Source organism: Homo sapiens, chromosome 7, assembly GCF_000001405.40.
Source record: "Homo sapiens chromosome 7, GRCh38.p14 Primary Assembly".
Lineage (NCBI taxonomy): Eukaryota > Metazoa > Chordata > Mammalia > Primates > Hominidae > Homo > Homo sapiens.
In genome coordinates this window covers 122,738,119-122,756,080 of record NC_000007.14, presented here as the reverse complement: position 1 = coordinate 122,756,080, position 17,962 = coordinate 122,738,119, and the positions used below count along the sequence as shown (strand labels likewise).

At 35.5% G+C, this 17,962-nt stretch overlaps 1 protein-coding gene and 1 long non-coding RNA gene across 29 annotated transcripts in view; one reads left to right on the top strand and one right to left on the bottom strand.

The window, feature by feature from the left end:
- CADPS2 (calcium dependent secretion activator 2) overlaps positions 1 to 17,962 on the top strand; it is a 568,050-nt gene that overhangs the window by 130,380 nt on the left and 419,708 nt on the right. The window lies entirely within an intron of this gene.
- LOC124901738 (uncharacterized) overlaps positions 8,009 to 17,962 on the bottom strand; it is a 44,981-nt gene continuing 35,027 nt past the window's right edge. Inside the window, exon 3 of the long non-coding RNA XR_007060503.1 lies at positions 8,009 to 8,070. This is a non-coding gene — a long non-coding RNA (uncharacterized LOC124901738). The remainder of the gene's footprint in view (positions 8,071 to 17,962) is intronic.

Here is a 17,962-nt window from a genome sequence, read left to right as displayed (position 1 = left end):
CATAAACTCCTGATTAAACCTAAACTCTTTTCTGTATCATCAGTGTGCTGTGGTAGGAAACAATAACAAATGATGTTCTGATCCCACTTTTCACATAAAAGCTGAAAACAGATGGGACAGTAGCAGCTTGGATTTTATTATATTCACTATTTTGTTAACATAATTTAATGTGGAATCCAGGAAAACGTCTACATCGCAAAGATTCTTTGGAAGAGAACTAGGTGTTACTTGAGTTGCAGTGTTTTCAGAATAAGCTCTTGATCTCAAAGCCTTTACATATTCCTATCAGTATAGAACACAAACATAGGCCTTGTTTATGAAATATCTTATCAGTTTCCCTTTTTTTTTTTTAGCCTCTCTAAATTTTGTTCCCAGTAGTTTGTTTGGGTTTTTCTCTGCAAAACAAATCGTGTTCTTCCAAGCATAACTTTTCAGGGATTTTCATTTTTATTTAAAATAGGACCATTTTTAACATCTGGGGATTCATTTTATGTACTGGAAGTTCTTTTGTTTTAATAATCTTTTGAATTAGTGTCGTCTCTGTCATCTGACAGCTCTGTCTTCATTAAACATTTTGACAACTGATACTCTTTCAATATTCTTTGCTTCATTGGTCCCAAATACAATACAGTGTTGATAATATATAGCTGATAAAGAAAAAGTGATTTTGTAGTTGATGTGAGGCATTTTGGTTTTAGCTACTCATTGCATGACTTTAGTTCAGTCTGGTAGTTATATGCCCTAGTTCATAAAATAATTTTGAAGATCTTAAACTTCATAGCCTTTTAAGTTTAAGATGAATTTATTAAGGAAAGACGTCAGCATGGTTTGCTTGGTACCTTGGCATAACTTGATAATGTTTACATGCAACATGCAAAACAAGACATGTAGACTGCAGGAAAGAATCATTAGAATATACAAATCTAAAATCTAGATTTGGTGTAATTGTCATCATACTGCTCAGTAGCAAATGTTTTTATTTGTTACTATTATCTGAAGACATTCTTCATTTAAAAACAAAAATGAAGCTGCCTGTCTTAATGGACAAAGATTTGTAAAAATTAAATCTATTTAGATATAAAGTTCTAAAGGAGACTATGAGCCATTATGAATTCAGAAACTTGATTAAAAAAATTAAGTTCTCCTATGTTCTTAAGAATATGTTTTAAAACAGACTATTTGGAAATGTTTAAAAGTAGCATCAGGAGATACTGAGGTATACATTTTCATTTAATTCAGTAATTAAAATTTAGACATTTACATTATGTGTTATTACATTCATAAGATTAAAAGTTTGAAAATTAGGCTCTGGGTGTGGTGGCTTATGCCAGTAATCCCAGCACTTTGGGAGGCCGAGGCAGGCAGATCCCCTGAGTCAGGAGTTTGAGACCAACCTGGCCAACTTGGTGAAACCCGTTTCTACTAAAAATACAAAAATTCGCCGGGCGTGATGGTGGGCACCTGTAATCCCAGCTACTCAGGAGGCTGAGGCAGGAGACTCAACTGAACCTGGGAGGCGGACGTTGCAGTGAGCCGAGATTGTGCTATTGTACCCCAGTCTGGGTGATGAGCAAAACTCCATTTCAAAAAGAAAAAAAGAAAAAAGACATTTCATGAAAACAAAAGTTTCAAAATTACATATTCTGATGCTGTCAAGGCCTTTTAGTAAGTCATTTTAATTAAATTTCATTGATTATTTACCTTAGAAGCAAACATTTTTCTAACTTATTTATCAAATTCCTTCAAGAGTCACACTTTGGTTAACAAATAAAACAAAAGCAGAAGTGGATAAAGAAATACCAACTGATAAAATTTAAAATTTAAGAATCTAATAATAAGAAAAATTAGTAATAGTGGTAATGATAAACAGCACTACTTTGTTAATAGGGACAGTTTTGAAAAGCAAAAGCAAATTAATTGCAATGAAAACTAAATACATTTGCATGTAAACAAAGACTTTTTGAGTGATAAATTGTGACTCAACCTTACTGACTGAAGGATTTAGTGGGAGGTTAAGGAGAGACACAGTTTTGTGTAACACTGCACAGCTCCTACCTGGTGGGGAGTGCTCTGCACCACATCCTATTAGCCAAAATGAAAATTAAGAAGGTTTATGGAGGAAAATGTTTAAATAATGTTAAAATTCAACTGTTTTAAACTTTTGAATGGTTGTTTAAAAGGGAAAAAAAAAAGTTTTTGGTGACCTGCAGTGTATTGATTGGGCAAATTGTGCTCTGTGAAATATGCAACACCCCAGTGGGTGAGTAGGGGAGTAAGTGTGTATGTCCCCAAGAGCATGCAAGCGTTCGTGTGTTTATATGTATACAACTGAGCTTGCTTTAGATTTGTCATCTAATTTTTGGCAGCCATAGCTGTTGGCTAAAGTGTACTGTTTTACAAACCAAGATCATAGGAAAAGAAAATTTTACTTTCTTCAATCATAACTGTATTTGAACATTCCTTTCAAAATGTCTCCATTTAACTTACAGTGTGTTGGAAAATGAGGTGTACTTTTCCCAAAATATCACTAAACCATTATTTAAGGTTAGGTTTATCTCACTTTTTGTCTCCCCCATCACTGTAGGAGTACAGGTATGTAGTAGGTTCTCAATAAATATTTGCTGAGTTATTGAATTACTGGATGTTTGAATAAACACCAAATTGGAACTTAGTCCCTTTAAATAAAAGTTGAGGCAGTTATTGCTTTAAAAAAGTTTAAAGTTTCCTCTTTGCATGTATTTAGAAAACTGTAGGGTGAATGTAGTCATAGAGAAGTGATGTGAAAGGCTTTAGACTTAAACAATGAATAATGTGAGAATGAATTTCTGTGCTCCATGTGTATGTAGCATAAAATGCATCTCTTTTTCCTAGAAAAGTAATCTTTGACTTAATTATACCCTACTAGATTTTAATTCAAAAATGTGCTTGTAAGATGTGAGCACTATTAAACTAATTTATGTAATAGGTACTAGTTGGTTTCAGTAATAAGTAATCATTTTACCCCGGGGCCATTGAATAACTTTGATCTACTGCCAGAATATCTGTGTGTCACTTTCTTGGGGTGTCTCCCTTTGGAGAGCAGAATTTCCAATCTCAGCATCTTATTAAGAACTCCCATTTATTCTCCATCTTCTTCTTGTTTCCTTCCTTTCTACAACCATTTGGCTGCCCTCTCTTGTTTGTCTTTCTTTTCTCTTTTATGTGCCCCGCTCAATTTCTAAACGAGGAAAATTATTACTTGATGCGTCCTATTCTTTTTTGGGAGCAGGTTATCAGTCAGTTGAGCTAGTGTTAAGCTGTTACATACTTCAAAGGACTGAGGGGTTTATATATTAACCTGTTGTAGGAAGTTTCACAGGGAAAGAGTTCTGAAGACAATACCATAACTGAAAGGGTTTGTCATTGTAGAACACTAGGCATTTTGGTAGGCAAAGGTAGGGTGTATGACTAATGTTTGGGAAGATGTGAGGAGCCACAAACTATCACATCTATGTCTTTGGGTTATGTAAAATTTGCCCTATGTATTGACATTTTCTTCATTACTTCATGTAATTCCTTATAATATGCAAACAATTTTAGTGTTAAATTATATTTTTAACTTCTTTAATAACTTTAATTTCTCAATTGAGGTTATAAATGTTTTTCTACCTTATTGCCAAATTTCACAGTGTTATCCAGGTACATTTCAGAGATTTATAATACTCAGGATTTCAGAAAGCTCTTCCAGAAAGTATGAGAATGTTTTGTTTATCTGTTCTTTGCTATAGAGATAATTTTGAGTTATTCTATAATTTAAAATGTAAGTAGATATCTTTATAGAGTAAACAGGGTTTCTTAATAGAATTTTGTGCAAGAGAAATTAACTGAGAAAGAAACTAATGTTAGGTAATGTGTTGCAGTATGAAAAAAATTCAGATCTACTTTAGCACAAAAATATTTAAGTTTTTCTATTCTATTTATTCACATCCTAGATTATCTTTCAGTTTTTAGCTTCCTGAATTCGTTTTGAGTGTTCTTGAGTTTTCTTGGACATCTGTTTTGTGAATTCAAGTTTCTCCTATAAAATGGAGTGGATAATGCTTCTAAATGCTAATGGGAGTATCTAAGGACTCGCTCTTCTTCAGGATAATGCTTCTAAATGCTAATGGGAGTAAATAAGGACTTGACCTGGCCCTATATCTGTCAGTAGGTGGGCAGCAGATGGGAGGAGCCAAAGGCATACCTTTTACCAATACACTTAGGACCAAAATGCATATACCATAGCCTGAGTTACACAGCATTTCACTGCGTAGCAGCCTTGTTAATATGTTTAGTATTGTGTAGGTTTTCTCTTTGGATCAGTGTAGCATGTGGCAGTGTGTGGGATATGTGGTCACTCATGAAAGGCAGTGTGCAGTGACCCTTCTCCATCCTTGTGGTTTCTGTTGGCTGTGGAGACTTGTATGTGCCGTGTGTATTGTGAGACCCTTTTCATGTTTGTTTGAATTACTTTAATTTCTTATGATATGTCAGTATTCTGTTACAAAAAGTTATTCTTGTAGGTTTTGACAAAAGGTCATCATTTACATTCTGCAAGATTCAGGGAGGTTGTGTGTGAGGGAGAATTGTCCTGGATATCAGGTGAAGGAGATCAAGCTTTCAGTTTCCACGAAACTATGCTCTCAGTCTTCCACTTAGTGGAATAGATGCATAAACTTTAGGGGGCCCTTATTTCATTACCCATTCCCTCGACATGATTTTTTTAAATCATTATTTCTAATGAGAAATTTGCATAGATGTTAGCATTTTAGATTGTTTTCCAAGCAGACAAAACATAGACTCTTAGGAAGCGCCTAGCACTTTGGGAATCCAAGGCTCGAGGAACCCTTGAGCTCAGGAGTTTGAGAACAGCCTGGGCAACATAGGCAGACCCTGTCTCTACCAAAAAACAGTAACAAAGAGAAATGCCTATATCTTAAAATATGATTCATAATTATACAAACCAGAAAATGAATCTCCTCATATTTCTTTGTCATGAGTGAAAGCCTGATTTAAAAATCGGTTTGAGTTTTATCCTGTGTGTCCCATATATTTATCTTTTCGTTTTTATGTTGGTCCAAAAAAAATTTTAGGGGTTCAGCATTCTGTTGTTTAAGTCTAAATCTACTCACTGAGCTCTCCTCAGCTTTTAGTAGATTTCTTAACTCATAATTACCATCTCCAGAAAATCCCAAACCTATAGCTGAATATCAGACTCCCTCAGGAACTTTAAAACTATACAGCTTTCCAGGCCACTCTTTTCAAAATTCTGAAATAGTAGGTGTGGGGTAGGTCTTTCGTACCTGCATTTTTTAAAAAAAGCTCTTCAGGGGATTGTAATTAGCTGGCTTTGGGATTTGTTCACTTGTTCTTCTTTCTTTAAAAATGATCACACATGTCTCTTAGTGTCATCTATTTGTCTGGTTTTAGTATTGCACAGGATGTCAAGTTCTGCTGTGGAAATTTCCTTTGAGCTGCTTTTTCAGACAACACTGAAAAGATTAAGAAATTGGAGCTGACTGGAGCCAGGAGACATTATTAAGTCCTAAGAGACAAAGGCATTATAACTGGGCATAGAAACAGGACAATCCAAAGAACAAAGGAAGATGTTGTCAAAGACATAGAAAGAGGGGGCATCAGAAGACACAATACGAATGCAAATATAGGTTGCCCATTATATTTGAATTTTAGTTAAATAATGGATTCTTTTTAGTATATATCCCAAATACTGCATAGGACATATTTATACTAAAAATTTATTCTGCACTGATGATGAAATAATTACACAAAAATGACATATTGTTTACCTGAAATTCAAATGTAAATGAGAATTCTGTATTTAATTTGGCACCCCTATCTGATGTGAAAGAAGGGCCATGGCATACTGTTGAGACTCAGCAGTGTAGCATACAATAGTCATTCAGTTAAACTAGCCCCAGAAGCAGGCTTTATTTTAAAATAGCTTTATTTTTCAGTTTGTTTATTGTTTCTTTGATAATTACTTGAATGATAGCTTTGTAACTGATAGAATAAACTTCCATTTTCTTGTCCCTCTTCCTGGGGAAGTTACATACTCTCTCTTTTTCTTTTTTTTTTTTTTTAACCTCACAGGTGAACAAATGTGCTAAAAATTTGCCTTTTCTTATTAGCAGCATTCTGTATGTATAATCAGAATTGCTTTTAGAATTAAAAATCTGAAGCATGTATTTATGTCACCCTAATGTAGATATCCAGTTTTTTTAATGCCAATCCTGAAGAGGGCTTTTATCTGTTTAATCCTCACAAATCCTTGAATTTGCTAATGTAAATTTGTTAACAATGATGTATTGAAGTTAGCATGGCATTTTTGCCACTAAAATTTGGTAAGTTTAAAGAAGGTAATAAATATAAAATGATTTTTATTATAAAAGGAGTAATAAGATCCTTGCATTTTATGTCCCTAAATACATGAATATAAATGCAATAACTAATCAATATAATTTAATTTACTTGAAATGTATTATTTTAAAGTGGGTTGCAGCTAATGTTTCTGTTTTAGGTACTGAGCAGAATTTTGTTATTTGTTAGGGAAATGTCAAGTTAGCTATTAGAAGGTGGTAGTCTCAGTCTTTTATGTACAGTTTGCTAGTTCAGGTCTCCTTACTGGATAGGCCAGGACAGAGCAGCAGTGCTAGTTGCCTATCCAGTGGCTGTTCTCTGACTACCCTTCTTCTCTCACAAATCCTTGGTTTTAATCAGCTATTAGGCACCTATTATTATACAGTGGTGGCTGGGTTCCTCTTGAGTCCCCAGAGTGAATCTTGATTGGTCAGTCGTGATATTCCATTTCCCTTACCCATTGATTTCTTTAGGAATGCACACTTGAATCAATTCTTCAGTGATACGTGGGAGAAAATATGACAGAAGGAGGATGCTGATTCTGGGAGAATTTTCTCCCTTTTTCTTAGAATAAAATTATTTTCTTCTTCAGTTTTGGTTTATTATTGTATGAGGATGCTTTGCACAGTTAATGTGGATTTCTTTGGAGGCAGTAAACTAGAAGACAAAAGCTAGCATGTGGAGAATGTAGACAGGTGGAAAAGGCCAGGGCCCTGAAATACTTCACTTAAGAGTTAAATTAACTAACTCTGGAATTCTCTTACTTTTGTACTTTTTGAGATACCTGATAATAATCCCTCCCCCACCCCCTTATTGTTTAACAGGGCGTTTTGAGTTGAGGATTCTATTACTTTCAGTGAAAAGCATTCTAACTACATTAAAGGTGTAAGATAGACCTTAATGTTTATCATATTGAGAGTCTGCCACTCCTTATCCTAGAAGGATGGTGCACAAAGATGATGAGCTGAAAGTCCCTTGCCTTCTGCTGCTACTTTTCTTCTTTTGCAGATAGCCACTTCTCATCCATGTAATACCTGGTCAAGAAAGAAAGCAAAAACTTCAGACATTTCTGAGGAAAGTAATTTTATGTCATATTTTCTTCTTCTGAAAGCAACTCTGTTAAACCACTTACTGCCTGCTGGAAAAGGCCATTGTGTGGCATGAGTTGGTCAGCATCTTTAAGCTTTTACACTGGCTCACAGTTGTCTGCTCCTGAGGCTGTCGGAATACTTTGTGATAAACATAAAGTCACTGTTTCTTGCAAATATGGCTTCAGCATATGGATCTGTGCCATGAAATGCCAGATGGTACTGAGGCACAAAGTTCTTCCTGCGTGAGAGTGATATCATCTGCAAAACAGAGCTACCCATGCTGCATCTCAACAAAGAAATCCTTTGCTCTTCTTTTGGCCTCATTGAGTCTGTCCATGAACTTATTATTTGGACAACATACAGCTATCTTAGAATTCTTTTCTTAGGCTTTGTCTGCTCCCTCCTCTTCACTCACTTGCTTCAGTGCTGGAGTCTTTGCTCAATGGTTATGACAAGATATATTCTTCAAAAAGTAATAGTGAATGGTGAATTTTCTTCTACTGTAGATGATTTACACCAGCAAACACTGTACTTAAGGTGGGATATATTGAAGGTTGGCATCTGCGTTGAAGAAATCTGCATCCTAGTAAGGAAAAGGCCACATAAGCAAGTGACAGATGTATGTATGAGGTACAGAAGTGGCACAAAGAGGATAAGATGACATAATTTGGGGGCAGCAGAAAGAAGGAGATTTCTTGGAGGTGTCGTCTTAATTAGGTTCTATGGTATTCTAGGCAGAGGAAGCAAACTGTGCAAAGGCACAATGACATAAACAACATGAATGGGACGGCGTTTTGAAGGTAAATGGGGAGGAGAGGAGCTTTTACCTCTTCAAGCTGATTAAATCATGTGATTGGCCCCAAGTGTAGCCAGTGGCTAAGAGCATATCAGTCAGATATACCTGGTTCTGCCCCCAAATTTTGTGAACTGGGTAACTTTCTTAAATTCTCTGGGCTTTAGCTTCTTCATTTGGAAAAAAACATTGAACCCACCTTATAGGGAGCTGACATTAAAATAATCTATGTAAAGAGGTTAGAATTGTGCTGAGTGTGTAGTAAATGGTCAATAAATGTTAGCTATTATGACTAGTTGTTACATTAGACATATATTAAGGGTAGTCAAGGGGATATCATACTGTTTCTAAAGAATGAGTCCCTCATTATTTAATTTGACATAGTCCACTGGAATTATTTGTAGAAAAGCGTTGGGTAGAAATTTTCTCTGGCTTATGACAGGCTCTGTTTTCTATTTTGTAGGACGGTAAAGGGTCACAGTGTGTGTTGAGCTTCCTTCCTTCCCCTCCTTTTTTCCATAGCACATGTCTGAGAAGACTTGTTTGCAAAACCTCCTGGATTTTGTCAGATCTTAGTGGGTGGCTGGGTGTTGGGGGGAATGGCTTTCTATTGCAATGAGAACTTCTCAGAATGGCTCATTAAAGTTTCTATTTCTCTTCAACTCTCTGCCTCCACAGTCATCTCTCAATTGCTGTTTGCCACAGAGATCACTCAGGCTGCTATTTGTGATAATTGGTTTACATTTGCTTTTGATGAGGTTACATTGTTAGTGGGGACCATTAGAGGCTATTATCATGGTCCTTTTCACTCTCAGAGAAGTGAGTGAGGCAGACGCTGTCAATGAATAAGAGAGTCCTAAAGCAGAATTTTGGAAGATAATGACCAACAAGACTTGCCAATTCTCTCTTAGTTACTTATTACTATGTTCAGGGAGAGTCCTGTTAAATAACTCCTCAGCACTTACCTTGATTATCATTAGTAAGGCTCAGGTGAATGAAGACCTAGAATCAAATAAGAATATAACAGTGGGTAAGGGGAATGTAGTGATAGAGCAAGCTTGTCTGGCCCACAGGTCGTATGCAGCCCAGGATGACTTTCAATGCAGCCCAACACAAATTTGTAAACTTTAAAACATGAGGGTGTGTGTGTGTGTGTGTCTGTGTGTGTGTGTCTGTGTGTTTTAGCTCATCAGCTGTCGTTAGTGTTAGTGTGTTTTACATGTGGCCCAAGACAATCTGCTTCTTCCAATATGGCCCAGGGAAGCCAAAAGATTGGACACCCCTGTGATAGAGTAAAAACTGTGGATTGGGGTTCAGGAAACCTAGGTTAGGCTCCCAGTTCTATGACCTAACTGGGTCTGTACCTTAACCTCTCAGTCTGTTTTCTTATCTATAATGTGGGGGTTGGCAGGTATTTTTTTATTCTTTTCTTTTTTTGTGGTTCTGAATGTTTGAAATCTGGTATTTCAAACTTAAAACGTATGTTAACTTGGATTAGCCACATTTCAAGTGCTCAATAGCTGCATGTGGTTAGTGACCACTGTGTTGGACAGCACAACTGTGGATCCATCTATTGTTAATTATTCACGGGCATCCATCTTAATATTTGTTTTTGTTTGTGGCTTCTGCAATTGCTGAAATAAAATGACCATGTATTTCTAAAATCATGGCAATTATAAAGCATTTAATATGTGTTAAGTATTTTTATTCTATCATTTAATGCAACAGCCCTATTAGATGTCTATTTTTACTGCCTTATTATATAGATGAAGAACTTGAGGCACTGAGGTTAAGGGACCTGCTTAAGACCCTACAACTTGTAGGGGAATCTTGGATAAAAACAGAAGTAGTCTGACTTCAGAACTCTTATTATTTCTACTTCCCCGTTAGTAATACATAAACTTACTAATTAATAAAATAGGTTAAGTTATCTATGATAGACTTTTCTGATCCATTGTGGTGTGTTGAAATTATCTGGAATTTTTATTATTGCATGATAAACCGACTTTTTTGTGGGGTCAGGCAAGCATGAGAATAGAGGATGTAGCTATCCCAGTAGGGAATAGTTTCATAGCAACCAACTGATATTTGCTTTCCCTTACTTCATTTATTCATTCTTTAAAAAAAAAAGAGGATATTCTATGTGCTAGGCCTTATCTACAACAAAAGCGGCTTTAGGATAAGAACTTGGTTTTAGGCTAAAACCAAGTTCTTATCCTAAAGCCACTTTTGTTCTAATGGAAAGACTTAAATAATAAGCAAATAAATGCCTACAAGCTGTATACAACACATTGCGTAGGGATAAACACCTTTTATTGAAAGAAGTCTGTAGCTGTGAGGGAAACGGAATAATATGGTAATCGGAAAGAATATAGGCTTTGGGATCAAGATGCTGGTTGAAATTCTATCCCTGTCTCTTACTAGATGCGAGGTTAAGTAAGATCCTTAACTTCTTTGAGCTTAGTTTCATCCTTTGTAACAAATATAGAGAATTTTAAGAAGATTAATCAGACATGTTAGAAGAGGGCAAAGTTTCAATTATGTGGGATGAAAATGTTCTGGGGATCTAGTGTACAGCATAGTGACTATAATTAATAATAATATATTTTATATTTGAAATTTGCTAAGAGTAGACCTTAAATGTTCTCACCGCTCCTGCCATGCACACACACACACAGACACAAAAGGTAACTGTAAGATGATGGGTGTGTTAATTAGCTTAGTTTTAATTATTTAACAGTGTAACATATCAAAACATTGTATACTTTGTATACCTTAAATGTTTACGTTTTTACTTGTCAGTTATAGTTCAATAAAGTAAAAAAAAAAAGAAAAATGAGATGTACATGGAATGTAGTCAGTAGAACATGACAAGGAAACTCATGGAATAATTAATGGATTTAACATTTGGAGCTTAGCATTCACCAGCTCCCTGCCCACGCCAGACAATGCCATGATGACATGTAATTTTGCTGAGGTTTGAATCGGACTGGGAGATCAATGAGAATGTGGGTAGGCGTCATTCACTTAGTGCTGAGTGAGCCTAGACTGGGTTGGGGTCCATTTGTCCACCATGCAATGGGAGTTTGCTGTTCTGTACTTATCACTTAGTTTACATTTTATTATAAAACATATTAATATGGTGTTTATAAATTTTGGGCTTTTAAATCGTCCTGTCAACACTGTGTGACAGTGGAATTTGGTTTGCCAAAATAACTTTGTTTTCAATCTATATCCAGCCAGCTTAGGTGTTCACTGTTCGCTGGGGCAAGTTTATTGGATAAGGAGTTTTTCATATGAAATAGCATGGAAAAATGTTTTAGAATAAATTAAGATGAACATTTCTTACAAAAAAACACACGATAGTACCATGGTATTTTCCCTCTGGTTAGGTATGGTACCATATTACTGTTAACTGCATATTACCAATAAATCCCAATAAGAGTGGTCAGGATGTATGGAGGTTTTCTCTCTCATGTCAAGGAAGTTGGGAGGTAGGTGGTCTAGGGTTGCAGTGCTGCTCCACTCTGTGGTGTGAGGCACTTTTTATCTTGCCACCTCACCATCTTCATGAATCAAGGTGAAACTTCAGCTAGCACATCAAATTCCATTCAGCAGGAAAAGAAAAAAGAGAAAGAAGCAAAGTGTGTTTACTTTAGCCACCTGTTACAGTTTCCTGGAAGTCAGGCATACATTTGCTTGCATCTGGTTGGTCTTAACTTGGTCATTTGACCATGTCTATACCTATCAAGTGAACCTGATATTTGTAGAATTAGATGGGCATATTTATTCACTGTCCCAAATATCTGTGCTTATGGAAGAGGACAGGAAAGTTTATTTGAATACGACACTGATAATATCAGCACATCCCACAGGGTTTATAATGTATGAGACGTAGCTGGAACCCCCTATTTTTCTGATATACAGCTTGGGATGCATTGTTATTTCAAAAACATGGAAGACACTGATGATTTTGCTTCAGTGGTTTGATGTAGCTGTTTTTGACAGTGTTGATAGGAAGGGAAGAAGAAAATAGTACTGATCCTTTAGCGTTTTCCTATTAATATCTTTCTTTAATTGACAAACCTTAAAGCTATGCGTTTGTGAATTTTAAGAAACATCTGTGCCTAGAGTAAAGACTTTTACCTTTTTGAAAAACCTTTCTCATTTTTATTACTCTTTGACATGAGGTAAATGCACACCCATGCCCCAATCCTGGAGGGACCCACAAGTTTTCTGCCACTTTGCTGTGGAATCTGACTGTGACCACCTTTACTTGCTAGGATGTCACACAGCTTCCACTGTAAGTACTGAGACTCCTGATGGGTTCTGCAGGTCAGGGCAGGCTCCATGCAGCCATGGTTGCTAGGTTCCTGGGTTGCATATTGGCTGGTCTCCTGCAGTAGTATAAATCCTGGCTTAAGTCTTTAGTTGATCCATGATTCAGAATGAAAAGGATGAAATCTAATTTGAATATGAAAAAACAGGAAACATGAGACACCTCTGAACCCTAGAATCTAAGTGTTTTTTCTGGTGGCAGTTATTATTGTGGATGAAGTATCACAGCCAGGTCAGATTTATAAAATTTAGTTTTTTCTTTTTACAAGGCTAATCTGTTGGTTGTATTTAGATGTTTGCAATTATATTTATGTTTTAGTTAAGTTTCTGCAATTTAGTTTTATATAGGATGTGCCTTATAAATTCCTGATAGATAATTTCTGCTGGTCAAATTTTCCTTCATATTTAAAAATATTTTATTCATTGGTAAATACAGTAGTCTGAAGACAAAATTAAAACATATGCTAAATAATAATAAATCAACTGCCCCAAATAATATTAATTGATTATGTTAAACTGAAGGAGTATATATAATGGCAGGATTCAGGATTCTTTCCTTAATCCTGAACTGATGAATATTTTTAAAACGACCTGGAGGAGACTATGGATAATATGTTATTATGTTAGTGATTATAACAAAGCTAAGAGAGCTCTCTAGTCATCAGGTGAAGGAATCAGAATTCCAAAATAATTCTTAACTAGAACAGTGGCTCAGATACATCTAGCAAGATGGAACATGGCTTACTGAGGCACATGTAAGAATGTTTTAGAAGTTTTTGTTGATTATAAGCACAATGTAAGTCAGTAGATGTGACTGCCAAGAAGAGTTAATTTGTTTTTAGTTTGAATTAATAGACATAGAATGCTTAGAATGTGGGAAGTGGCCCTCTCACTTATCTCTCTGTTGGCCACACTATCCTAAGAGAATGGTGATCAGTCTATCTAGTACATTTTAAGAGGGACATTGCTATTGTAGTGAGTTTCATTTGCTTAATCTTATAGTTTTCAAAGTGTTTTCCTTTTGAATTTTTATATCAAAGGGCATTATATATTTTAATTAATTTTTTTTTTTGAGATGGAGTCTCTGTCACCCAGGCTGGAGTGGAGTGGCATGATCTTGGCTCACTGCAACCTCTGCCTCTCGGGTTCAAGCGATTCTCCTGCCTCAGCCTCCCAAGTATCTGGGACGACAGGAACATGCCACCACACCCGGCTAATTTTTGTATTTTTTTTTAGTAGAGACGGGGTTTCACCACGTTGGCCACGCTGGTCTCGAACTCCTGACCTCAGGTGATCCGCCTGCCTTGACCTCCCAAAATGCTGGGATTACAGGCATGAGCCGCTGCGCCCAGTTTGTTTAGATTTTTAAAAAAGCTATAATAGCGACTCTGCGCATCTGTAAACTCAGAACTTATGATCCATTGCATCCAAGTATCCATCATACTTAGTTTTATTTAACATGGTGATTTTATGGCAAACTGGAATGTATCCTTAGGAGAGTACCCAGGATATTGGAGCGAACTGGTAAAATTTGTTCTAGAAAAGAGAAAACTCTTAAATAATCATTTTATTTTGTTCTCAAAGTCTTGAACTGCTGTGTTAAAGAATGAAAGTAACAGTCTGTTTTGTCTTAGATAGTGTATAGTACTAGAGTTGTATGGAAGCCATAGGGACACTGATTTCAATTTTTATACTTGTTCCAAATTAGAATAGGATTCACTGAGATAATAAAAGGATGTATGTATATGTGTGTGTATTAATAGGCCCAACTGGAATCTGAAAGTCTACTTTTGTAGATTTTGTACAGATTAATATGTTGATTAGAATGTTGAATAGGATCTTGGTTTAAGCTTTTTGAAATCCTCAAGATTGTAATATTTAAAAAAATAGACACAGAGTCAAGGTAAGTTTTTTTACCTGAAAGAATGGAAAAAATTGGTGTGCTGTCCAGTCTCCGTGTAGGATAGGATTTAAGGTATTCACAGTGCTTCATAACTGTTTTGAGTTTCAAGATGTACAAAGCTGCTGTTATAGCTTATTTTAAGGGTTGTTTCACTTGAAAACTCAAAATGAATAAAGTGCTAATGTTGAAAAATCTCTTTTACCTGTATTTTCTGTCTGTCCAGTTCCCACAGCCATCCTTCTTCCCTAGTTTCTGTCTATATATGGAAGCAAATTCACATACATGTTATTTATCCATTTTCTATGTGAGTGGTGACTTATTTTAACTGCTGTTCTATAACTTGCTTTCTGCCCCAAGATATTTTTAAAATATTTAAAATCAGTACATAGAGAATGTTTACATTCTTTTAATGCAATGAATAGTATACCACTGTTTATAGATGTGGCATAATTTAGTCTCCTATATATGAACATTTAGGTTATTTTCCTTGTTTTTGCAATTAAGAATTATGTGGTAAATAACCTTCTACACATGTCATTTCTCACATGTGCAGGTGTATCTGTAGTATTGATCCAATCTCAAAGTGGAATTGCTGATTCCAAGGATATGTACCTTTAAAATGGCTTCTCATACAGTTTTAATTTGTATTCTTTTTATGAATGTAGGCTTGTTTTCATGGATTAAGTCTTTTATCTGAACATATCAATTTTGTCCATTTTTCTGTTGGTTTATTTATGATGTTCTTATCAATTTCTAGGAACTCTCTATATGGTTAGAAATGAACTCTTTGGGTAATGAGTTGCAAGTATTTTTTTTTCTAGTTAATCTTTTCCTATTTTGCCTATGGTATTTTTTGCCATGTAAAATTTATTTTTAATGCAAATAAATTGATGACATTTCAGTATTTTTAATAGAGTTTATTTTTTTATGAAATTTTAATTTCACAACAAAATTGAGCTTGAGTGGATGGTACAGAAATTTCCCATATATATCCTGCCCCCACACATGCATAGCCTACACTGTTATCAACAGCTGATCTTTTTACTGTCTCCATAGCTTTGCCTTGTCCAGAATGTCATATCGTTGGAGTCGTACAGTATGTAGCCTTTTTATATTGGCTGCTTTTACATAGTAATATGCATTTAAGGTTCCTCCATGTCTTTCCATGGCTTGATAGCTTATTTCATTACTTGCTAAATAATATTCCATTGTTGGACGTACCCGAGTTTATCCATTCATCTACTGAATTTTGCAATTATGAAAAAAGCTACTTTAAACATTTGTGTACAGGTATTTGTGTGGACATAAATTTCCAACTCATTTGGGCAAGTACTAAGGACTGTGATTACTGGATCATATGATAGAAGTGTATTAATTTGTAAGAAACCATCAACCTGTTTTACAAAGTAGCTATACCATTTTGCTTTCCCAGTAGCAAAGAATGAGAGATCCTGTGGTCTATATCCTTGCCAGCATCAAGTGTTTTCTGTGTTCTGGATTTTGTTCTTTCTAATGGGTTTGTAGTAAATCTCATTATTTTAATTTGCATTTCCCTGATGACATGAGGTGGAACATCTTTTATATTATTTTAACACCATTCATTGAGTAGACCATCCATTACTACTGATTTGAGTTGCTATATAGGTGTTTTATAGTACATTTCTGATTGTATTTCGGTCTGTTTCTTCGATCTGTTCCACTGGTCTATCTCTTGGTATACAGTCTGGTTTATCTTGATAATGCAAATAGCTTTTAGGAAACTGCTTTCTGACAGCTATCCCCAGTGCTAGATTTTAAGTTTAGTTTTCTTTTCCTGCCCCATCTTGCCTATGTGAAAAAGTAGACTTCTTCTTTATGCTAATAAAGTATTCATTTATTTGCTTTTTGTATGTAATTGTCATATTTGATCCATTTTATGTCTTAAATGTAACTGCAGTATCCTCTATTCATAAAAATATTGAAGCCTGACATTTAGCCAGGTGACTCTGGCTTATTTTGTGAACTATATCAACTTTGTTGGAGCTTCCAAGAAGATGATTTGCCCAAACCTCCTTTCCTTGATTCATATCCATGAATTTTCTACACTGTAATTACCAAAGAGTAACTCACTGTTATAATAGCGGAACTTAAATACTAATGATGTAGAAATTGCAAATATTGTAGTTTAGAAGAGTTTTAAAGAACAAAAAAGATATCTTTGATAAAATAAAATTGAATGAAAAAATACACAGTTTCTAGTTTTTGAAGAGTATGTATTTTATTTATCAAGCAAAGGAGTTGGCACAAGTGATCAGTAAGGTCTCCTTCAGTTCATTGTCATTCTTTGCATACATTTCCATTGCCATTATTTTACTTGGCTTGCAAGGAGAAGCTCTTCTTGGCATTCCCAGAGCTTAGTAACTATAGTGCTTTCAGCCGCCTCACTCTCAGCAATTGCTGTCCCATTTCCATTTGGTCCCTTTTGTGAATCATGCCTAGAGAGCTAAAGTCATGAACTTAATTTGCGTTGCTAGTATGCACCCATACAAAAGGTACCTGCTTCCATTTTCTTAATATTACAGAAATGGAGATTGTAATATAATGATGATGTTCCTGCACCTCAGCTTGGTTAAGCTTCCTCTAAAATGAAGGAGATAATCTTAGTAAAGAGATGGAATGGTCTTCTTTCTTCGCTGCCCATGGCAAAAGTTTTTTTTTTTTTTTTTTCCCCCCCTGGGTACAATAGGACACTTTTTAATTTTTTTTAAATCAGTCTGTTACTCCCAGCTACAGTTTCTTTAAAAACTGTCTTATTTGTTAGAGTCCTAAATAAAACCCATTTTTTGAAAGAGCTTGTCTTCCTTTTATTTGAATGGCAGTTTAATAAGCCTTTTGAACAGATTTATACTTAATTCACATCAGCCTTCTTTTTGAGCCAAGTCATACCAGTTTGTTTAGTCTTCCTAATCCTTTAATCATTTTATCCTCAGTATGTTTCCAGATGCTTCACATCCCTCTGTAGATTCCAGAACTGGAATGAGTTTGTTAATAAAGTCTGATCAGGATCGAATGAAATGGAAGGATCATTCCTTTGCTGTTTCTTATGTATTTTGGAATTTGTTGTTTTATCTCCAAGACTATGTTGTTTTCTCTCCAGTTAAGCATAAAAAAAAAAAAAGCTTCTGCATTACCTAAGATCTAAGACGCCTTATTTCTAGTGAAGTACATGCCCCTGTGTGTACAGTTGTGCAGGGCTTAGTGCCTAGAAGGGCTCTGCACTCAGCTTAATGCTCTCTGTTCCTGCCGTCTTGAAATTGTTAATATTTTTACTAAGAAGCTCCTTATTTTTATTTTGCACTGGGCCCTACAAATTAAGTAGCTCACCCTGCTTGTAGTTGATGACTAGAGGACATGATTGATAAGTCACATTTCATGTCTAATTCACCCTCTGTATTAATTATG